This window comes from Homo sapiens, chromosome 10, assembly GCF_000001405.40.
Source record: "Homo sapiens chromosome 10, GRCh38.p14 Primary Assembly".
Classification (NCBI taxonomy): domain Eukaryota; kingdom Metazoa; phylum Chordata; class Mammalia; order Primates; family Hominidae; genus Homo; species Homo sapiens.
In genome coordinates this window covers 19,103,193-19,127,491 of record NC_000010.11, presented here as the reverse complement: position 1 = coordinate 19,127,491, position 24,299 = coordinate 19,103,193, and the positions used below count along the sequence as shown (strand labels likewise).

Below are 24,299 nucleotides of genomic sequence, written 5' to 3'. Positions count from 1 at the left end.
AGAAGTCTCTAAGGAAACCCAAATACAACAAGAAAGACAAAAACAAGAACATGAGAGCAAATTTTAGCCTCAGATATTTACAGCTACAGCAAATACTAAGCATAATATGATCCTTAACTGCATAAACGTAATGTAAAAGCTTACACTATTTACATTAATGTCTTTTGCACAGTAAATCATGCCTGACTTTCAACAAAAAATTACAAGGCACCTGCAAGGCAAAAAGCAGTTTGAAAAGAGTAATTCTAAAAAGTAAAGTCTATTAATCTTTTTAAAAATAGTCTGTACACTATTCACAATAGCAAAGACATGGAATCAACCCAAATGCCCATCAATGATAGACTGGATAAAGGAAATGTGGTACATATACACCATGGAATACTATGCATCCATAAAAAGGAATGAGATCATGTCCTTTGCAGGAGCATGGATGGAGCTGGAAGCCATTATCCTGAGCAAACTAATGCTGGAACAGAAAGCCAAGTACCACATGTTCTCACTTATATGTGGGAGCTGAACAACTTGAACACAGACACAGGGAAGGGGAACAACACACACTGGGGACTGTTGAGGGGTGAGGGGAGGGAGATCATTGGGATAAATAGCTAATGCACGCTGGTCTTAATACCTAGGTAATGGGTTGACAGGTGCAGCCAACCACCACAGCACATGTTTACTTATGTAACAAACCTGCACATCCTGCACATGTAGCCTGGAACTTAAATAAAATAAATAACCATAATAATAATATTACTGCTACCCCCAAAAAATAAAAAAAAATAAAAAATAATAATCTGCACAGTAAAATATATAAATATAATGCTAAAGACAGCAAAAACGAATTACATTTATAAATTGTAGAAAAAAGAAATTAAATTTCATGCAATTCTAATACATTCTATTAAAAACATATTAAGATACACTAGGAAATAAATAAGAAAATATTAGCAAGTATACACTTAAAACAAAAATAAATTAAGACTTTAAATTAAATGCCCAATAGGCAGAATATAACCTAGACTGGCCATAGTGTCAAAGAGAAAATTCATGTACCAGAAGCCCTGAAATGTAACTCAAAATAGAGTAAATTATATAGAAAATAAAAAGGAGGAGTCAGGTTATGGAGTGTGAACATTAGTTGTGTTTAATAGAAACTCAAGATGAAAAGATTAGAGGGAGTAAGAGAGAATTACTTGAATAGAATAACATAATTTCTGCAAGTGATGATATATGTGCATTCTGAGCATTAAAAATTAAACGTATACTCATTCCTGCACTCATCATACTGAAATTTTCAAATAACAAAGATAAAGAAACATTTTTAAAATCTGCATTAAACTAAAAACCATTACATGCACTCAGACTTCTCTGTCACTACAGCACATATCAGGAGCTAAAGAGGGAAAATCACCCTGTACTTAGAAATTAAAAAAAAAAAATTCTAAAATTGTATGACCAGATAAATTATTATTTCGAAGTGAGAACAATTTTAAAACATTTTAAGTTTACAGGTACTATGGGAGCTCATCACCACAGATCTTTTCTAAATAAAAGAAAAATTGATTAAAGAGTCAACCTTTGCAAGGGGATAAGGGAACCAAGAAGGAAAGCATAAAATCTAAAAAACAATGGTGAGTAAGAAAAATAATGAAATATATAAACTTAATAATTACAAGTATCATAACAAGATATTGACTTTAAAACTCTTTAAAATGTTCAACTGTAACTCAGGACCAAAAAATAATTAAATGATAGTTTGGTCTTTCTCATGTTCAAGAAGGCAGAAATAGTAGAGCACTTTAGGTTTTGTTAAAGAAATTTCATATAAAGAATATACCCTAAAAATTAAGAATAGTCATAACAATAGGCTATATAAATTAAAGCTTCCAGATCAGTGAAAAAAATAAAAATAAAAATGTAACAATACTCACCCCTCCAAGAAAAGGAAGAAAGAAAAAAAAGCAAAAAGAATAAAAGTAAACAGAAAATACAAATTAATATGTTAGCAAGAGGAAGAAACTCATTGACAACAGAGCAGTGTTGAAAGAGAGAAAGAAAGAAAGAAAGAAGGAAGGAAGGAAGCATGGATGGAAGGAAGGAAGGAAGGAAGGAAAGAAAGAAAGAAAGAAAGAAAGAAAGAAAGAAAGAAAGAAAGAAAGAAAGAAAGAAGGAAGGAAGGAAGGAAGGAAGGAAGGAAGGAAAGAAAGAAAGAAAGAAAGAAAGAGAAAGAAAGAGCTGGCCGACTTGGCCGGGCATGATGGCTCAAACCTGTAATCTCAGCACTTCAGGAGGCTAAGGTGGGTGGATCACTTGAGGTCAGGAGTTTGATACCAGCCTGGCCAACATGGTGAATTCCTGTCTCCACTAAAAATTCAAAAATTAGCCAGGCATGGTAGCACGTGCCTGTAGTCCCAGCTGCTTGGGAGGCTGAGACAGGAGAATCACTTGAACCCAGGAGGCGGGGGTTGCAGTGGGCCGAGATCTCACCACTGCATTCCAGCCTGGGTGACAGATTGAGACTCTGTCTCAAAAAAAAAAAAAAAAAAAAAAAAAAAAGCCTTTTAATACTTTTTGTTCACACGATAATAAATCCTGAAGGAAATAATAAAACTTAAAAAATATTGTTAACCTAGTATAATTCTTGTTTTACACTGTTGGAAACATAATTGTTATTTTCACCTTCAGCTCCTTTGGCAGAATGTATTTTCAATAAAATATACTCAGTATATTCACCAAGGCCTCCTATGTAATGTCTTATAACTAGTCACCATAAAGCAGAATTCTGAAAGTAATACATAAAAGATATTATTTTTTTTTCTACCTTCATCATCACCTCCTTGATCCTGCTGAGGTGTGGATTCGAATGCAGGGATCTCTCTCGCTTTTGTGCGCATCCAGGAAATTTGGCCAGCAGATGCTTCTGACGTCCACTCACACATGTCAAATTCAAACCCACAGGCCTGACACACTAAACGGGAGAAAAAGATCTTGGTGGACTATTAGTCTGCTAGAGTGGCTGCTTAACCAAGTTATGTGTTGTAATCAACCAAAAAGCTTATATACACACATACACATCAGCACACACTAATTTATATCTGCAAGTTTGGATTCAATAAGCCTTCGAGTGTACCAGCAACTCCATTTTGCAAAAATTTCTCAGTTGATCCACATGTACAATATCCTCTCAAATGTGACCCATTGCCATAGAAAAAGGAGATTCCTAGTTTTTGTTGTATGTGTCACCACTTCAGTCACAATATGTTTTAATTTTTTTAAGAGACAGGGTCTTGTTCTGCCACCCAGGCCAAATGCAGTGGTGCAATCATAGCCCACTGTAGCCTTAAACTCCTGGGCTCAAGCAATCTTCCAGCCTCAGCCTCCCAAGTAGCTAGGACCACAGGTGCATGCCACCATGCTCAGGTGATTCTTTTTTTTTTTTTTTTTTTTTGGTAGAGATGACATCTTGCTATATTGCCCAGGCTAATTTTGAGCTCTTGGCCTCAAGCAATCCTCTCATCCCGGCCTCCCAAAGTGCTGGGATTACAGGCATGAGCCACCATACCCAGTCAACGATTTTTAAAATGGCTTTATATTTTACCTTATCTACTTTATGGGATTAGATTAGTTAGTTTAAATTATTTACTATTCATAATCACACTGAAATTTTATAGAAGAAACATTGCATATCATTCCACAGTGGCTTTAGTTTGTTTCACAAAATGACATCGCCTTAAATTGATATATTTAGTATAAACCACCACAGCCTCCCAAAAACACTCCAGCTAAAACTAGGACATTAATGTCAACAAAGGTTGGCGCGTGCACTTTCCTGTGAGTGGTCTGAGTCTCACATATTGCATATATACCAGAAAAGTGAATATCTCAATTTAACACTTACATCTCAACTCTTCATCTGTAGCATCAAATCTGCAGAGATCTGTATCTGGATGGCATAGCTCCCGCTCAGCATTCAATGCTTCTTGACACAGTAAAATTCCATCTGTTAAATTTAAAGATTGGCAAGAAGTGAAATGCAGGTGCAACTGGAAAGACTCAAGTATTTTGCTTTAATGTTAATATTCATTCTACAAAGCACTCTGTAACCAATTTCTCTTTATGGTATCATCACCCTTTAGGTAACCCTATCTCTTTCTCTCTCTCTCTCTCACACACACACACACACACATACACACCACTCAAATAGAGACAGAGAAAAACAGAACAAAACAACTATGCCAATGTTTCAGAATTTTAATCATATCTCCATAATGACAGGCAAGCCCCAAAGCCAATCCTTCATAGGAGTAAAAAAATTGCCCTAATGTTGGAACTCAGAGTCTACTATTTGAAGGACAGTTGTACATGTGTCCAATACAAGATATGGCGCCCCTTAAACCTGGAAGGTGGATCTTCCCTGGAACTGCTTTCTCTGGAGCTTTCTCAAATTGTGCCTGTTGGCCGGCCATGGTGGCTCACACCTGTAATCCCAGGCATGGGCTGGCCTTTGGGAGGCCAAGGAGGGTGGATCACCTGAGGTCAGGAGTTCAAGATGAGCCTGGCCAACATGGTGAAACCCCGTCTCTATTAAAAATACAAAAATTATCTGGGCGTGGTGGCAGGCATCCATAATCCCAGCTACTAGGGAGGCTGAGGCAGGAGAATTGCTTGAACTCAGGAGGTGGAGGTTGCAGTGAGCAAAGATCACGCCACTTCACTCCACCCTGGGTGACAGAGTGAGACTCCATCTCAAAAAAAAAATTGTGCCTGTGTTTTTGTTTTCTTTTCCCCAAGCCCCCCAATATAAGACTTGAAGGTAGACTAGGAGTCCTTTCTGCCCATACCACTTGCAGACAATTCTCCCTCTGATCTTCCTAAATACCCAAGCTTTGACTCTCATGTCAAATGGCACCCCTCACTGTTCCAGCTTGTTACAATCACCTACAGACACTGTAGGTGAGCCCTGAGGATGCCCTGCCCCTCAACACCTGAACATTCTAGCTCTGAGCTCACTGTCATTCTCTGTCATGTAAATATTCACTTTTATTTGCTTCTCAGTTTCTTGATCTCTTCTTATTGATGACTTTGAAGGAGAACTTTGATGAAAAACAACCTTTGCCACCACTCTTCAAAAGGAGTATTACCATTACTAATGATGATAACGTTTCCTTGTCTTCATTTCAAGTGGTCCACTCCCCAACCATCAGCCCTATCTGTCCAGCTCACTTCTTTTCATATCTCTACTCTAACAATATTTCAGCTGCGCCAGGTTCTACAAGCCCAGGATCCTAAATTATTTTCAGTTATTTCCCTCACCTATCTTGTCTTCATTTCCTTTATTAGAGATGTCAGACAAGCAATCACTCCCTGGCCATGCTCATACTTCTCCATACTCTCATGGCAAAAACTCTAGAAAATACATCCCTTCACTTACTCTAGCCTGTATCTGTGCAGCTGAATGAGTGAAGAAATCATGCAGATTTCACTTTGTTCACAATCATGCAGACTGAAATGACTTCGTATTCATGACTACTCACTCCATTGGCATCAGGGTGACCCTCATTCTTTCCTTTTCCGCTTTCCTAGACAACTATTCAAAGCTTTCTATTCCCTCTTTTAACTTCCAGCTCTTCCTTCCCTATTGTCATTCTCAGCTCACCACCTTGCTTCACATTTCATTGGGAAAATGAGAGAAATCAGAAGAAAACTTTACAAGTCCCATCATCAATCTCACTGGCCAGCTGTCCACATGCTTTGCCCCCTGTAGGAGCGGGTCAACTCTCCATGCCCTTCTCTGGATGACGTCTTCCATTTAGACAGAAATTTCATCTCTGCTCGGCTATTTAAGGAATCATACTGCCAATTTCCTCTCCTCTCATTTACAACGATGTGTTCTCTTTCTCTACAAGATCATTTCCTTCAGGACCTAAATGGCCAAAACTTCATCCATCTTAGAAAAACATTCTCCTGATCCGACAACCTTCTCCAACTAACTTCTCAAAGTTCTGCCTATTCTCACACTGACTCAAACACCAGTTCTTTCCCCTCCTATTCTCTCTTGAACCTATGTCAATAACAGTTTTTTTAATTGAGATAAACTTCACAAAACATATCATTAACCATTTCCATTTTATCTATTTTAAAGTGTACAAGTAGGCTGGGCACAGTGGCTCACAACTGTAATCCCAGCACTTGGGAGGCCGAAGCAGGTGGATCACTTGAGTTCAGGAGTTCGAGACCAGCCTGGCCAACATGGTGAAACCCCATCTCTACTAAAAATACAAAAATTAGCAAGGCATGGTGGCACACGCCTGTAATCCCAGCCAGGAAATCTGAGGCAGGAGAATTGCTTGAACCCAGGAGGCGGAGGTTGCAGTGAGCCGAGATCGCACCACTGCACTTTAGCCTGGGCAACAGAGTGAGAGTCCAACTCAAAAAAAAAAAAAAAAAAGGCCGGGCACAGTGGCTCACGCCTGTAATCCCAGCATTTTGGGAGGCTGAGGCAGGTAGATCACCTGAGGTCAGGAGTTCAAGATCAGCCTGGCCAACATGGCGAAACTCCGTATCTACTAAAAATACAAAAATTAGCCAGGTGTGGTGTTGCATGCCTGTAGTCCCAGCTACTCAGGAGGCTGAGACAGGAGAATCAGTTGAACCCGGGAGGCAGGGTTGCAGTGAACTGAGATCGTGCCACTGCACTCCAGCTTGGGCAACAAGAGCGAAACTCTGCTTCAACAACAACAACAAAAAAGTGTACAAGTCAGTGGCTTTTATTAAATTTGAAATGTTGTGCAATCATCAAACTACCTAATTCCAAGACATTTTCATCACCTGTACCCATCAGTCACTTCACCATTCTCTCTTCTCCCCCTACCCTGGCAGCCACTACATCTGCTTTCTATCTCTATGGATTTGCCGACTCTGCTATTTCACATAAATGGAATCATGCAGGCTGTAGCCTTTGTGCTTGGTTCCTTTCACTCAGCAAAATGTTTTTGAGGTTCATCCATGTTGTAGCATGGATCAGTATATTATTCCTTATTTGTTTGTTTGTTTTTTCGTCACCTTTACCACTCCCCTGAAACTGCATATATCAAGATTGACCTCTATATTGCTAAATCTCATATTTAATTTTTTTCATCAACATATTTGACATATCAGTAATATTGGACAGAGCTGATCCCTCCCTTTTTCTTGAAATATTTTCTTCACCAGGCTTTTGCATAAAACTCTTTTCTGGTTTTCTGATTGTGTTACCACCTATTTTTTTTCTCAGTCTCTCTTGTGGTTTTCCCTCATCTGCTCAACATGAGACTGCCTGGAAGCTCAGTCCCTCCATCTCTTCTCCTCTCTACACACCCACAACCTTGTTAATATCAGCTAGTCACATGCTATTAAACCCTTTCCTAAATGCTGGTGACTCATAAAATTATACCTCAGGCCCAAAATTTTTGTGGACTCCAACTCTACACTCCAGCAGTATCCTGCTACTGACTTAAGCCTCTTCCCTCGGGTCACAGAAATAGGTCTAAATCTTGAAACCGCCTTTGCAAAAGTATGACTGAGACAGTGAAAGAGATCTAATTTAATCGACTCCATCTTGCTTCTAACTTCCAAGCTGTCCTTGCTCATTCCTGGGTGGAGACTGGACTAACTTTGGGAGGAACTTAGTTTATAGTTTAAACAAGGATGGTAACAGCCCTTTCCCAAAGCAGACCTCTTTCTTGTCTGGGGACTAGACTGCCTTTGTAGGACTAACATTAGTCACAAGAATAGAAATTATAGTTTAGGAGTCATGCAGCTGGAGGCTACAAGATTCTGACCCTCCCTAAACTGCTTCTAAGATCAGTGCTTGACATATTTCACAGAACCGGCACTTGATGGATCAACTGGCACCATCCAGGTCAATAAATTGGCTCATCTGATCTTGTGGCCTCAACCCAGGAACCGACTGAGCACAAGAAGACAGCTCCGACTTCCTGTGATTTCATCTCTGACCAGTCAGCACTCCTGGCTCACTGGCTTCCCCCAACCCACCAAGTTATCCTTAAAAACTCTGATCCCTGAATGCTCAGCGAGACTGATTTGCATGATAATATAACTCCAGTCTCCCACATAGCCGGCTCTGCGTGAATTACTCTTTCTCTATTGCAATTCCCATCTTGATGAATTGGCTCTGCCCAGGCAGCTGGCAAGGTGAACCCCTTGGGCGGTTACTACCTCAATAAACCTCTGATTTTTCTCAACATAAACTTTCTCTTCCCACAGCCTTTCTTATCCCAGTTAATGAAACTCCATCCTTCTAGTTAAGGCGAGAAATTTGGGGTCTTCCATGACTCATCTCTTTCTCTCTCTCTCACCAAACATGCAATCCATCAGCAAATTTCTGCATTATCAATAAAACACATCCAGAATCCAACTACATCTTATGACCTCCACTACTACTACCAACTCTGGCTCAGGAAACATCATCTCTTTCCTGATCATCTTAGTAACTTCTTAATTTGTCTTTCTGTCCTTGTCCCTGCTCCACTATAATCTTGAGGGTCAGATCATGTCTCCTCTGCTTAAAGCCCTTCCATGGGTTTTCATCCTATATGAAGTAAACATCAATGCCTTACTATGACCTTCCTCATATAAACCAAGGCCTCTTTCCTCAAGGCCTCTGCATTTATAGCTGGATATATAAATAAAAAAATTAAATCCTAAGCCCCAACCATCTGAATGGACTCCTCCTCTCATCTACAGACATTCCGAAGTTAACCTGTAAAACTAGTTCAGGCCATGATGGGAAAGTGAAGCCAGACATGCCTCATTATACCCTCCTCCCTTTTGCAATTACTGGTAGAACAAACTAAGTATGATAAGAAACATCTACAGTCTATTTTCTCTGAAGCTTGCTATCTGGAGGCTTCATCTACATGATAAAACCTTGGTCTCTACGAGCTCTTATTGTAACTTACACATTACTTTCTATTGATTCCAGGTCTTCAGATAATAACTCAACCAATGGTCAACCAGAAAATCTATGAATCCACCTATGACCTGGAAGCCCCCTCTTCCAGTTGTTCTGCCTTTCTAAACTCAACCAATGTACATCTTGCATTCATTGATTGATATTTTATGTCTCCCCAAATTGTGTAAAACCAACTTGTAGCCCAACCACCTTGGGCACCTGTTCTCAGGATCTCCTGAGGACTGTGTCATGAGCCATCGATCACTCATGTTTGGCTCAGAATAAATCTCTTTTAATATTTTACAGAGCTTGACTCTTTTTGTCAACATATCTAATATTCACATGGCTTATTTCCTCTACTGTTTGGCTATTTTTCTCAGGTGATATGTTTTAATGTGACCATACTGACTATTTAAACATCACCATCTCATCCTCATTTCTAGAACTTCTTATCACAGTTTTTTGCTTTACTGTTCTCCATAGCAAATATCACCACTTGACATAAACTATATTTTTTATTTATTTGCTTAGTGCCATTTTTCTCCCTGACTAAATTGTAAGCTTGGTGAACGCAATGATTACTATTTGCTTTTTCACCGCTATCACACGACTATCTAAAAAACTTATTGGCATAATAGGTGCTCAATGTATACTTGTTTGATAAATGAATAAATGGCCTAAGAACAACCTGATGAAAAATTTTAAAACATTGTAGACTCAATATACATCATGTTCACTTTTATTTGTGATAAAACTGAAGCAATTGGTTATGGAAATGATTTATGAATGCATCCACAATCTGGTTTCTCATAATGGGAGTTTACAAATGATGAATATGCAAATCCTCTTGAATGTAAGATGCACTGAAAACAAAGCTGCATATGCAACTAAGGGAATGTTGGCAATAAATGAAGCTAAGATTGCACAATAACGATTACCATGAAACAATTAAAACTGTAATTTTTGTAGATTCATATAATAGCTACAAATCTTCTGTCCCTAGAGCTACATAACTAAATATTGGTCATAGTTCAGTTAAATGTTGTATATTATCTCTAATTCATCACTATTTACACAAGACAAAAAAAAAAACCCAGAAGTACTATAAACAAAAATAGCAAAACAGTTGAGTACAAATTGCATGGAATTAAAAACGTAGCTCTTGTCAAATGTATTACATTTCTTTCACCAGTGTCTACCACTTTAACTACCTTTGGCCTGAAAACTGGAATTTACAACCATAAAACCAGTGGTATATGAGTAAGTATTTTGGCCTGGTATGCATAAATTGTCAATTAATAAATCTGGACAGCTCTTTTTATTTTAGTGCATTCAATCCCAGAGCTCAAAGCTATTTAAAGATGTCAGTTATTTATACTCATATTAATTCTCCCTTCTTCCCTCTCTCCTCTCACTCTTTCTTTCTTCTTTTTTTTTTTTTTTTGAGACAGAGTCTCACTCTGTTGCCCAGGCTGGAGTGCAGTGGCACAATCTCGGCTCACTGCAACCTCTGCCTCTCAGGTTCAAGCGATTCTCCTGCCTCAGCCTCCCCAGTAGCTGGGACTACAGGGGCCCGCCACCACGCCTGGCTAATTTTTGTATTTTTAGTAGAGATAGGGTTTCGTCATGTTGGCCAGGTTGAGGCTGGTCTCGAACTCCTGACCTCAGGTGATCTGCCCACCTCAGCCTCCCAAAGTGCTGAGACTACAGGTGTGAGCCACTGTGCCCAACTCTTTTTCTCTTATTCTTACTTTGTACCACAATCTGGCAGTACAATATTATTTTAGGGGTTTTCAAATCCTCCATCAGTGATACATGATTAGTGGAATAAGGCTTTGCCAACCATTTCAAGGTGTCTGTACCACTGAAGTCACATGTCTAGGGCCTGCCATCCTTCAAATCTTATCTTGCACAAACAGATTAAATGAAATTGTCCCGACTCTCTCAGAGGGTAGAAAATGAAGTCCAAGTCTCAAGGCCATTGTGGTAAAAGTTATAATTGACATCCAGTTTTTACTCCAGAGGTTTTAGACAATGTGTCAGTTATCCTTATTTGTAGTGGATTTCAAGGAAGGAACAGTTACTGTCTCTTAAAAGAAAACTGGAAGCTACTAAAATAAAAAAGGTCCTTAGTTATTTAACTGGATAATATATATGCATCATTCAGATTCTAATAAAGGGATGATTGGTATATTTGAGGGCTTTACAAATGAGACTTAGGCAAAGTCCTGAAAAACCAATCTAAAAATATTCACAGAATATTCAAAATATTCTGATTGTGAGCCACAGCATGAAATCGTTATACAAAATTATAATCAGCTGTTTCTTTAAGAATCAGTGTTATTCAAGAATCAGTGATTAAACATGTTCTTATTTAATCACAATAGCAAGGCTTGATTTTTTTTTCATACTAGCTACTTTGGTAAAATCTAAAGTGATCCTCTTTTCAATAAATGTACAATAAAATTTCATATCTTGGAAGGGGCAGAGGTTAGAACGGTATTGTTTGAAAATCTGGAAATAGGCTAAACAATTTCTTTCATATTAAAAATTAGTTTTATTGTCCAACTTGCAAAGTGTTCAGAAACTGTGAAAATACCTAATACTAAGCAGTTTTATAAATAAAATAGCTTATATGTATTTTTTTCTTTTTTCTTTTGTTTGAGATGGGATCTCACCCTGTCACCCAGGCTGGAGTGCAGTGCCGTGATCTCAGCTCACTGCAACCTCTGCCTCCTGGGTTCAAGCGATTCTCCCGTCTCAGCCTCCCCAGTAGCTGGGATTACAGGTATGTGCCACCACACCTGGCTAATTTTTATATTTTTAGTAGATACAGGGTTTCACCATGTTGCCCAGGTTGGTCTCGAACTCCTGACCTCATGATATATTTTTATAGTAAAGAGAAACATATATGGTAAAATAATAGTTTCATTTTCATAAATAAGAGTATAATAAATAAGCCATATATTATAAACTTCCTCATCTCAGAATTATTCAACTTTAAAAGTTGGTCATTTCATTTTCAAATTTATTTATAAATTTACATATGGTAAAGTTCCTATTTTCCAGTATTCAGCTCTATGAGTTGTTTTTTACTTTTAAAAAAAAAAGCTTTTATTTTAACTTCGGGGTACATATGTGGGTTTGTTATATAGGTAAATTCGTGTCATGGGGGTCTGTTATACAGATTATTTGGTCACCCAGAGTATAGACCTCCTCTTGGGTGTCTCTAGACACCTCCTCTCCAAGAAGAGGGAGCACGTGGGAAAGTCCCAGCGTCAGTCAGGAGGCAGAGGAAGAGGAGTGAATTGTGGGTAAGAAACTTTCTTCTGGTTTCTAGGAGAAGAAGCAGGGGAGGCAGGGTAAGCAAGCCTAGGACTGGCTAGTTTTAATGATGTCAGCAGGCCCTAGAACATAGAAGCTGTTTCTAGTTGTCTGGAACTTGGTTATTATGGGCTAAATCATGCCTCCCAAAATTCCTATGTTGAACTGTTAACCCAAAGTACTACTGAAAGTGACTGTATTTGGAAATACAGCCTTTATAGAGCTAACTAAGGTAAAATGAGGTAACCAGGGTGGCCCTAATCCAATATGGCTGGTGTACTTAAACTAGAGTTTAGGTCATAGTCAGGTATAGAATGACCATGTGAAGACACAGGGAGAAAACAGCCATCTATAAGCCAAGAAGAAAGGACACAAAACTCAATCAATCCTGCTGACATTTTGAACTTGGATGTCTGGCCTCAATAATCAAGAAAAAATAAATTTCTATTGTTTGAGTAACACAGTCTGAGGTACTTTGTTATGGCAGCCATAATAGACTAATATACTAGCCCTGAGGTGTGTAGGGCAGGTGCATAGTGGTCCACATATGTGAAAAGAAGTCTTTTTAGGAAATCTAAATATCATTTTTTTTTCCAGGACAGAGTCTTTTTTTGTCACCTAGGCTGGAGTGCAGTGGTGCCGTCTCAGCTCACTGCAACCTCCACCTCCCAGGTTCAACCCTCTGGAGTAGCTGGGATTACAGCTGCACGCCATCATGCCCAGCTAATTTTTGTATTTTTAGTAGAGATGGGGTTTCACCATGTTGGCCAGGCTGGTCTCGAACTCCTGACCTCAAGTGATCTGCCCACCTCAGCCTCCTAAACAATCATTTCTATAAACCAAAAAGACTTACCACAAGACGGCTATGTTAGAACTTAAGTCCACTCATTTTCTTTAAGTCCACTCATTTCTAAATACAATATTTCTGTTATAATATGGCAAAAGTACCTGTATGTCTATTAAAATATGGGAAATGCTTGGCCCAGATTAATTCTTCTTCAATAAAGCCTCATTATATAGTTTGAGGACTTAGCTTCATTTTTCATACTAAAACAAAAACCTAGAAATAATATAATATTCTTAGCACAAATGTAAGTACTGTTAAAAACATCTTCCCCTGATATTTTATTTAAATCTGCTTTTTTATGGAATAGAGCATATGTATCTCACAAGGAAGAAGAAATAATCCAAAATCTCAAATATTTGGCATTTGAATAACTGCACATGTTCTTTGTTCAATCATTTGGTCAATCTGTATTTATTAAGTGCTTGTTCTGTTCTAGGGTCCACAAATGAATTAGACAGGGTAGGAACTATGCCTCAAGGCACTTAGAATTTAGTCATGGAGATAAATCAATACACATGTGTCTGTGTGTGTGTGTCTGTGTGTGTGTGTGTGTGTGTGTGTGTGTGTGTGTGTGTAGGGGGTGGTAGTGGCAATGTGGAGGGATAGTCTACAAGGGAAAATTCCCTGCACAAGAAACCTCAACTCACAAGAAACTTTTGCTCAGAAACCTGAGCATAAATGGTGGAAGGACATATCAAAAACAAAGAAAAAAAAGAAAGAAAGAAAGAAAAGGAAGGAACAAAGAAGGCAGAAGGGAGAAGAAGGAAGAAAAAGGAAAGGAGAGGAAGAAGGCAAGGGAGGTGGAGGAAGGAGGGAGGAGAAATGTAGGAGGAGGACAGAGGGGAGAGGAATGGGGAGAAAAGAGGGAAGAGAAGGTGGGGAGTATAGGGAGAGGATGAAGGAGAGGAAAAATGAGAAGAAGAAGAAAAAGAAAAGTCATGGAATGAGGCTTTCGGGCAGAGGAAAAGAGGTTTGCATAATACCCAGGAATTAGAGGACACTGCGTTGCTGAACTCACAAGTAATTTGTTTTGACCAGAGTATGGGATTCTTGGGGGAATTGTGAAGGAGGACATTGGACTACTGAAAAAGAGCAGTATCGTGAGGAGCTAATATCATGATAAAATATTTGAATTCTGTCCTGGAGGCAGTAAGACTTATTGATGGATTTATGAGAAGTGGAGACCTGGCCATAGGTGTCTGTTATAAAGTATAATCTGTTGGAAGTAGATTGTTGAGTAGAATACATTAAAATTGGAAGAAAAAAAATATCCCATAGGGGAAAAAAAATGTGGGCTGGAACAAAGTCAGGGTTGGATAAATAATAGTAATAAATAAGAGGAGAAAATTTAAGAAATAAGGTAGGACATTCCCTCAATAATATTTTTTAGCCAAATTGATATAAAGGTGAAAAAAAGAGAAGAATATGTAAAAATTACTCTTAACTTTTTGAGTGAGAAAAAACAACTGCCAATGACTAAAACAGGGAATGAATGAGAGGGAACAGATTTTGAAAGAAAATTGGAGTTTACTTCTAAACATTGTTGATTTTCAGTTTCTGTAGCAAATATATTTGCTTATTCCACTCATAAATCTGTTCTCCTTACTTACCTCTATTCCAAAGGCTAAAAGCTAAATATTCAGTTTTGTTAGCCTGCCTAGCAACTAAAGTTATCCAGATAAAATAGTCAAGCCAATGATATGGCCAAAAACATTGCCCCTTCTTATTTCTACCTTCTTCCTGCCCAAAATTTGAGATGTACAGGCCTTTAACGGTCATCTTATAGCCATAAAGTGACAAGCGTAAGGTAGTAAGGCAGATACAAAAAAATAAATTCCTTGGTCCCCGACTCTAACAGTACTGGGGGTGATGAACCTTTTCCATAATTATCTCCTCCATTTCCTTAAGTGATTTAAGCAAACTTGCCTGTTTTCTTGCATCCAAATCCAAGAAGCCCTATCCCTATCCTCCATAGGTATAGGATTTTCTGATGACGATGTCCAGAAGATGCTGAACGGCATGTCTCCGATGCTCCCTCCACCCCTGCCCCAACCACCACCACCAGGATTGCATGAGACTAAAACTACTCATTCTAGTTAGCTGGGACTCTGCCCCAAGTACAATCATCAGCAGGATACCAGACCTTGTGGTTCCCAAATGCTAGTCCTGTTTTTAAGCCTGAGCTCTACTGGCTTCATAAAAAAAAAAAAAAAAAAATCCTGAGAATCTTATTTAAAATTCAGGCTCCATTTACAGTGATTCCCATCTATCACTGGAGTGAAGCCCAGAATCAATCACTCCCTGATGTGATTCTGATGATTAACTAGGTTTAGTCTGTTATGACAGTGCCTGAACTTGGCTAGAGAGTCCCATTTGGCAATTTAATGCTACTTAATTTTACAATCTCTCACATTTCTGCCATTTACAAAGTGCAGCCCCAGCCAAGTGCCAATCTCATCCCATAATGCTTTATGTTTTTCCTCTATTATTAATCTTCATGCTGCTGTGTTTTCCTCCCAAAAATGTAAATATGCCCTCAATCCTTATTTTACTTGAAAAACAAAAACAGAAACAACTCTCTGTGTCCTCATCTTCAAAGAACATACCAGGTGACCTCATCTGAATCCTGGCTTTCTCCATAAGAAAACTACTTCCTTTGCAGCATTCCCAGGAGATGACATTGTTTGCAATGCCCCATAAAAGGCAAAGCCTAAAAATAGGGTTGCAGTTCATCTAAATCCCCAATGTTGCTTCAGCACAAGTATTTATCTTTGAAAGTGTGCAAACATCTTGGTTCATGATATTCAGCTTATTGCCCTCTGTCATACGTGTAGGTCTACTTTCCATATGCATTGATAACTTCAGTCTTAGATTTCAAAGTCCTCCTCTCCAGTCCCAAAGCTTGTCATGTTATATAAATGTCATATTCACGTGAAAGGCTCAGACAATAAATGAGTCTTAACATTTATTGATGCCTCTTCTTTAGTAAATTTCTTCTCCACACCACCTCAAATACATTATGGTTATAATGATGTCTAGAACAATTACCTTAAAAATTGAAAATGCTCATGTTTTTCTACTGGATCACAATTTTCCTTTGAATATTCATCTTTCTGAAATCTCACTTGTACTATGATTGCTTTTGTACTTCTGTAGTGATTTTATAGAGTCTTTTTAAATACTTACTACACATCTGACATTTGTCTTCTGAATATATATGATGGCCCATCTACTTGGTCTTTGTCCCAGTATATAGTTCATGGGTAAGTAGGGAAATGGCTTTGGTTCCCAGAGACAAAGATAGAGAGAAATTTATATCTAAAATGATAGCAAAATCTTATTACAGGCCATCTCAATTCCCAAGCATCACCCAAGCATGTGTGTTTGTAAATTTGTAATGCAAATACAGTTTCAATGGCAGCAACCAATTCCTAACTTCCCTACAGTAGGAAAGTCCAGCCAATAGGTGATTTCCTTGCCTTTTTCTCCTTTGAATGTGATTAGCCAGACCAGCCAATGAATAACACTAGTACAAAATGATCAGGGATCATTTTCTTTGCCAGACCCTGACCTCTGCAGAAACTATAAAATTGAGATATATAAAGACATTGCTGAAGGGATCAGGGTCAAGAACCAGATGTCTCATTAAAACTAAGCTGGCTTTGCTCTGGACCCAGGAATACCATGGAAAGTAACAGAAGAGGGGGTATTAGAGAAGATTTTAAATAACAAAGCAGTCAGCAGTAGAGGCTGCATTGCCTTCAGTTAGCCATATATTCTCTATTGATAAATTGCATCCCTTTTGATAAGTCCAATAAATGTTATTTTCTAATAGTGAAACAGCATTGAGGACGACACTTTAATTATTTACTTCTAGGTTTGAGGCAGGGGTGTTATAATCTGGTCCCTTAAAGTTCTCTATTTCAATTGATATACTTTTAAATGTAGCATATAGTGATTTCTCGCCTGATAAATGCTGAGCACTAAAAATACAAAAGCAAACGAGAACTTTACATGTTCCAGTGTTAGAAGCAGCTGTCACCAGCTTCTACAAAACCCAGGCTTGGTCTATGTGGCAAGAAACATCTATCCATAAGCTCTTATGCTAACAGAAGGGATGTTAAAAACCCAAGCACGGACTGGAGTGATGTTAGCAAGACAACTGACTAGAGACGCTTAATGTATTTTCCCTCCATGAAAAAGGACTAAAACAATGAATAAACAAGCACATTTTGACAACAGCAGCTGAGGGAAAGCACCAGAGTGTTGCAGGGGAATAGCAGTGACCCTGTAGAGCATGGGGACTCAGACTGGATTCATAGAAAATGGAAGAAAATACCCTATCTTTACTGCCCTGTCTCCCCAGTTGGGAGAGGTTCAGAATCAGAAGTAATTACCATTGCAAAGAAAAGGTAAGCAGGAGGCCCCCAGCATCCCCCATCAAAGATCAGTTGCCACAGTTTTTGATGCTACAGAACTCTGCAGTCATCACAGGCCCTAAGCCCAGTCTAAGGTCACTGCCAGAAGTTGACATGGTTATGCTGCTCCAAAGAAGGAGCGCACATTGTGCCTTCTCTTCCCATATCTACATTGCTGCTATAAAGTGCTATCTTGGGACTGGAGCCATGACTAGAGTGCATCTTTCTCTGGGATCCAGTAGCCACTGCATCTCCCCATCCATGAGGATCTGCTGGCACTACACTGTGCTCCCACTTGGTAGTGTGCCATTCTCCATCCAAGAAGCTATAGCTATCTACTTCTGTGAATAAATTGCCAGGAGGCATTCCAGTCTTCAAATTCAAGTGGCTGCAGCACACCATCCCAGCTATTTGAAGCCTATACCTAGTGGTACTGCTGCAACCCCGGTGGCCAAGCTTATGAGATGTCTTTACCCCCAAATTATAGGCAATCTTGCCAACCAGGGAGGTCATGACTGACCCGGAGATAGAGCAGTCCTCATGCATCCTTGTGTGTGAAACAGTCTGGCACCATGAACATCAGCAAAGAAGCCACACCCAACCCGGTAGTGGAGCAGCCCTGACAAACCCTCAATACACGAAACAGCCCAACACTTCTGTCCCCGACAGGGAGGTAACGCTTGACCCAGTAATAGAACAGCTCTCATGCACACTTGGCATTCAGAACAGCCCAGCATCCCCACCCCCAGTGGGGAAGCTTGTCCAAGGAGCTGCACAAACTCCTATAACCTGAGCCAATGAGACACCTTCAGGTATTACTGATGTTGACTACAGCTGAAGAAATTACTCTGAGACTACACTACTGTGCCCAAATGGAACCAAAGTCAGTGTACCCTACCTAACCAATACTCTAAAGCACAGGTGTAGTAAAGGTACCCTATCTAACCAATACTCTAAAACACAGGTGAAAATATTTCCCCCTGAAAGCCATTCTATAAAATTGGAAGGAGCAATTATTCCACCAGTTGCACAGATATCAACATAGGGAAACAAGAAATACAGAAAAGCAAAGAAACATGATACGACCAAAGAAACACAATAACTCTCCAGTACCTGACCCCCACCCAAAATGGAAATTTATATATTGCCCAAAAAGGAATTCAAAATAATAATTTTAAGGTAACTCAATGAGATAAAAGAGAATATACACAATTCAATAAAATTAGAAAAAACGGCCGGGCGCGGTGGCTCACGCCTGTAATCCCAGCACTTTGGGAGGCCGAGGCGGGTGGATCATGAGGTCAGGAGATCGAGACCATCCTGGCTAACAAGGTGAAACCCCGTCTCTACTAAAAAAAATACAAAAAATTAGCCGGGCGCGGTGGCGGGCACCTGTAGTCCCAGCTACTCGGGAGGCTGAGGCAGGAGAATGGCGTGAACCCGGGAAGCGGAGCTTGCAGTGAGCCGAGATTGCGCCACTGCAGTCCGCAGTCCGGCCTGGGCGACAGAGCGAGACTCCGTCTTAAAAAAAAAAAAAAAAAAAAAAAAAAAAAAAAAAAAAAGAAAAAACAATTCATGAGCTCAATAATTATTTGAACAAAGAGATATCATTTATAAGACAGAAATCTTGTAGCTGAGGATATCAACAAATGAAACAAAAAATACAATTGAGGATGTCAGTAACACACTAGTAGAACAAGGATGTTCTGAACTTGAAGACAAGTCTTTGAAATAGCTTAGGAGGGAAAAAAAGAAGAAAGAATGAAAAACAGCAAGCAAAGCCTATGTGACCTATGGGAAACCATTAAGCAGACAAAGTTTTGCATTATACAATTTCCAGAGGGAGAAAAGATGAAGAAAGGCACAGCAATCTTACTTATTAAAATAATAGTTAAAAACCTCCCAAGCCTTGGGACAAATATGAACATCCATATCCACAAAGCCCAAAGTCTGCCTTAGATTCAATGTAAAGATGTCCTCTTTAAGACACATTATAATCATATTACCAAAAGTCAAAGACAAATTGTGGGAGGACAGTAAAATTCTAGAATATTTGCATGCAACCAAATTTAAGTTGTTATCAGTTTAAAATAGTCTTCTATAAGATTTTTTAAATGTAAGCCCCATGGTAACCACAGAGAAAAAAATTACAGCAGATAAACAAATGAGAAATAGAAAAGAATCAAAGCTTACCACTATAGAAAACCACCAAACCACAAAGATAAACAACAAGAGAAGAAAGAAACAAATTTCTACAAAATAACCAGAAAATAACGACTAAAATGAAAGGAGTAGGGCCTTATCTGTTAATAATAACATTAAATGTAAATGGATTAAATTTTCAAAATATATAGAGTGGATGAGTAGATTAAAAAAAAAAAAAAGACCAAATTATATGCTGCCTAGAAGAGACTCACATCACCTGTAAAATACCCATAGACTGAGAAACTAAAGGAATGGAATAAAAATATTTCATGCAAATAGAAACCAAAAGAGACCAGCAGTAGCTATAACTATATCAGATAACATAGACTTTAATTTGAAAACTGAAAAAATGGATAATGATGGTTGTAATATAATGATAAAGGGATCCATTTAGAAAAAGGATAAAATACTTGTAAATATATATTCACCCAAAACTAGACCTCCCAATATATAAAGCAAACATTATTAGATGTATAGAAATAGATAGACTGCAATACAATAATAGCAAGGGATTTTAACTCCCTACTTTCAGCAATGGACGGATAATTCAGACAGAAAATGAACAAAGAAACATGATATTTAAACCGAACTCTAGATCAAATAAACCTAAAATATATTTGCAGAACATTCTGCTCGATAATTACAAAATACACATTTTCCCATCAGCACATGGAATTTTCTCCAGGATATATCAAATGTTAGGCCACAAAACAAGTCTCAACCATTTTTTAAAAGTCAGAATCATAGTAATTATCTTTTCCAGCCAAAACGGAATAAAACTAGAATTCAACAATGAAATGAACTTTGGAAACTATACAAATACATGAAAATTAATCGTACCCCTGAAAAACAAAATAAGCCAATGATGAAATTAAATAGAACATTTAAATATTCCTTGAGACAAATAAAGATGGAGAAACAACCTACCAAAACTTAAGGAACACAGCAAAACCAATTCTAAGAGAGGAGTTTATACCAATAAATGCTTACATCAAAATATTAGAAAGAGCTCAAACAACCTAATGTGTACTTCAAGGAATTAGAAAACACAGGAAGAAACTAAACCCCAAATTAGTAGAAGGAAATAAATAATAAAGATCAGAGCAGACCTAAATGAAATAGAAACTAAACAAAGCAATACCAAAGACAACAAAGCAAAAAGTTGTTTTTTTAAAAAAGATAAACAAAATTGACAAACAATAGCTGGATTAAGGGAAAAAAGATAGAAGATTCAAATAAAATGAGAGATGAAAATGGAGCTATTATGACTGGTTGCACAGAAATACAAAGGATAAAAGACCATTATGAACAACCATAAACTGGAAAACCTAGAAGAAATAGATAAATTCCTGGACACATAAAACCTACTAAAGTTGAAGAAAGAGAAAATCTGAACAGATAGAATCAGTAACAAAATGTCTCCCACCAAAGAACAACCCAGAACCTGATGGCTTCACTACTAAATTCTAGCAAACATTTAATAAATAACTAACAACCTCTCACTCATATGTGAGAGTTAAAAACAAATTGATCTCATGGAAATAGAGAATAGAATGATAGATACTAGAAGCTGTGAAGGGTGAGTGGGTGGGAAGAGAATATAAAGGGAGACTGAATACATTCTATGCATGTAACAAACTCACATGTACCCCATAAATATGTAAAATATTTCACTCATAGAATAAATAAACAAATAAAACCAGTCCTTTTAAAAAAATGAGATTACATCAAACTAAAAATCTTCTGTACAACAAAGGAAACAAATGAGTGAAGAGACAACCTACAGGATCAGAGGCAATGTTTGCAAACTGTGCATCTAATAAGGGGTCAATTCTCAGAATATATAAGAAACTCAAAACAACTCATTTTCAAATAATCAAATTTGAAAGTGGACACAAAACCTCAATAGCTATTTCTCAGAAAAATGACCAATAAATAGAATATGAAAAAAATTATCAGCATCATTCATCCTCAGGGAAATGCAAATTAAAACCACAATGTGATATCATCTCATACTTGTCAGAATGGCTACTATCAAAAAGTCAAAGTTAATAAATGCTGGTTCGGATGTGGATAAATGGGAATACTTATATACTGTTGGTAGAAATGTAGATTAGTACACTCATATAGAACATTATGGAGGTTCCTCAAAAAGTTGAAAATAGAAGTACCAAATGACTCAGCAATCCCACTTCTGAGTATTTATCCAAAGAAAATGAAATCAAAGAGATACGAATTCAATCTCTGTCAAAGAGATTTTTGCATTCCCATGTTTACTGCAGAACTACTTACAATAGCCAAGATATGAAATCAACCTAAGTGTCCATCAATGGACAAATGGATAAAGAAAATGTGGTAACATACATGCAATAGGATTCTTTTTTATTTAACTATAAAAGGAATAAAAGCCTATCATTTGTGACAATATGGATGAATCTGGAATATATTAAACAAAATAAGACAGACACAGGAAAACAAATACCACATTATCTTACTCATCTGCAAAATTTTCAAAAGCCTATCTTATAGAAGTACAGTGTAGAATAGTGGTTACCAGAGGCTGGGGAGGATAGCATGGACGGTGTGTGTATAGAAACTGGTCAATGGGTATGAAATTACCGAGAGATTGGAGGAATAAATTCTGGTTTTCTATTACACAGTATAGTTAACGATATTATATTATTTCAAAATAACTAATAGAGAGAATTTCAAATGTTCTTACTACAAAGAGAAGATAAATTTTTGGAATAACCAATAAGTTAAATACCCTGATTTAATCATTACACAATGGATACATGTATTTAACATCACATGGTATCCCATAAATATATACAATTATGTGTCAATTAAAAATAAAATAAAACTTTTCAAAAACCAAGCACAATATCAAGATCCTATGGTCTTTCTTAAGTAGATGAAGACATCTCTTCTTGTCTTGAAATATCATTTACCACAACAACTATATCTTTGTACCAAACTGAACTCAGAAGCTTTATCTACAAAATACCTTCTTTATTCTGTTATATCATGCCACAATATAACAAAATTCTTAAAACCCTGAAATATATGGGTTTCAATATGACTGACTCTTTTTTATTATTGGATTAAGCCTGGTATTTTATGCTATTCTAATTTTAATATTGAATTGTTTTTGGAATAATATAAATGAAGAATAGAATATTAGTTAATATAATCAAAGGAACAATATAAATAAAAATTTATATCTGATATATGTAGTTTATTGATGTGTCAAAATAGAAAATAGATTATAACTAATACCTCTATTTTGTATCTTTCAGCAGAATAATCAAACCAATTGTCCAAGAAGACAATTTCAAGTCTATGGAGGCTAGTTTTCTCCCAGTCTCCTAGAAGGCACAGAGTTCTCTTGTTAAGATTTAACTTTAGCCGTTGTAAACATTGCTACAAGATTTCAAGTTTGAGACTAAATTATCCCATTCAGTTCTTTACAGCATCAGTCAGTGAAAAACAGCCAAACTTCACTCCCAGTATAGATCCAGTCACTGTTATACAATGTATTAGAACGAAAAATATCCCACATGAAAACATCAGACAAAAATAAACAGCAGATTAAAGTCATCACAATGTTTAAATTGCACTGAAATCTTTAAACACAGTAAAGATCAAAATGAGAGAAAAAGTTCTTACCATTGGCAGGCAAGCAGCCTGAACTGAAAGATATATCATCAATAGCAATGACTTCATCCTGTTCATACGTTGAAGCCATTTGACCTTCAAAAACAACCTGCACCAGAAAAACAAAACAAAACAAAACAAAAACATAAAGCAAGGAACATCACTGTCTCACAGTGTTATAAAAGAGAGCCTGCAATAGGAAGCATGTCACTCTCTAGAAGCACTTGGGTGACCATGCCAATTCCAGGTGCAAAGAAATCAAAGCAAACATTCTCAAAAACAAAGAAATGCAGGGTCATCACTGTATCTCAAATGTCTGGCATAGGATAGGTAACATGATAGTGAAATGCAGCAATACTCACCTAGATTTTTCCCTACAACCATCTCCTATTTTCAGTTCCTATGTGTTCACACTGTTTCGCATTTACCTGCTTTTGGATCCATGCTCCATCCTGAGCTCCAGTTCTTGGCATTTTGCAATTGTGTCCCATCTTCCCCTTTGGTTCTCTAAATCTTTATTTATTTTTTTTTTTTTTGAGACGGAGTCTCGCTTTTTCACCCAGGCCGGAGTGCAGTGGCACGATCTACAAGCTCCGCCTCCCACATTCATGCCATTCTCCTGCCTCAGCCTCCCGAGTAGCTGGGACTACAGGCGCCCACCACCGCGCCCGGCTAATTTTTTGTATTTTTAGTAGAGACAGGGTTTCACCGTGTTAGCTAGGATGGTCTCGATCTCCTGACCTTGTGATTTGCCCGCCTCGGCCTCCCAAAGTGTTGGGATTACAGGCTTGAGCCACCGCACCTGGCCGGTTCTCTAAATCTTATCGACTCTTGCCTTAGATGTCATCCTCATGCTAACCTATTGCACATTTTCTGCCATTATCTAAACATCGAC

At 37.9% G+C, this 24,299-nt stretch overlaps 1 protein-coding gene across 8 annotated transcripts in view, besides 1 other annotated feature; it reads right to left on the bottom strand.

Moving 5' to 3' along the window:
- Positions 1-24,299, bottom strand: part of MALRD1 (MAM and LDL receptor class A domain containing 1) — a 687,552-nt gene that overhangs the window by 606,987 nt on the left and 56,266 nt on the right. For all 8 annotated transcript variants that reach the window (XM_011519453.3, XM_011519455.3, XM_011519454.2 and 5 more), the window contains 3 exons: positions 23,417-23,513; positions 3,899-4,000; positions 2,822-2,968 (listed from right to left, as the gene is read on the bottom strand). In XM_011519453.3, coding sequence (XP_011517755.1) covers positions 2,822-2,968; positions 3,899-4,000; positions 23,417-23,513 — 346 coding nt within the window. The remainder of the gene's footprint in view (positions 1-2,821; positions 2,969-3,898; positions 4,001-23,416; positions 23,514-24,299) is intronic.
- Positions 7,803-8,444: an enhancer, noted in NCBI's record as "OCT4-NANOG hESC enhancer chr10:19407977-19408618 (GRCh37/hg19 assembly coordinates)". NCBI's record gives its function as "activates a minimal SCP1, AML or CMV promoter by ChIP-STARR-seq in naive and primed H9 embryonic stem cells {active_cell/tissue: H9 hESC(naive and primed)}" and the evidence as "EXISTENCE:reporter gene assay evidence [ECO:0000049][PMID:30033119]".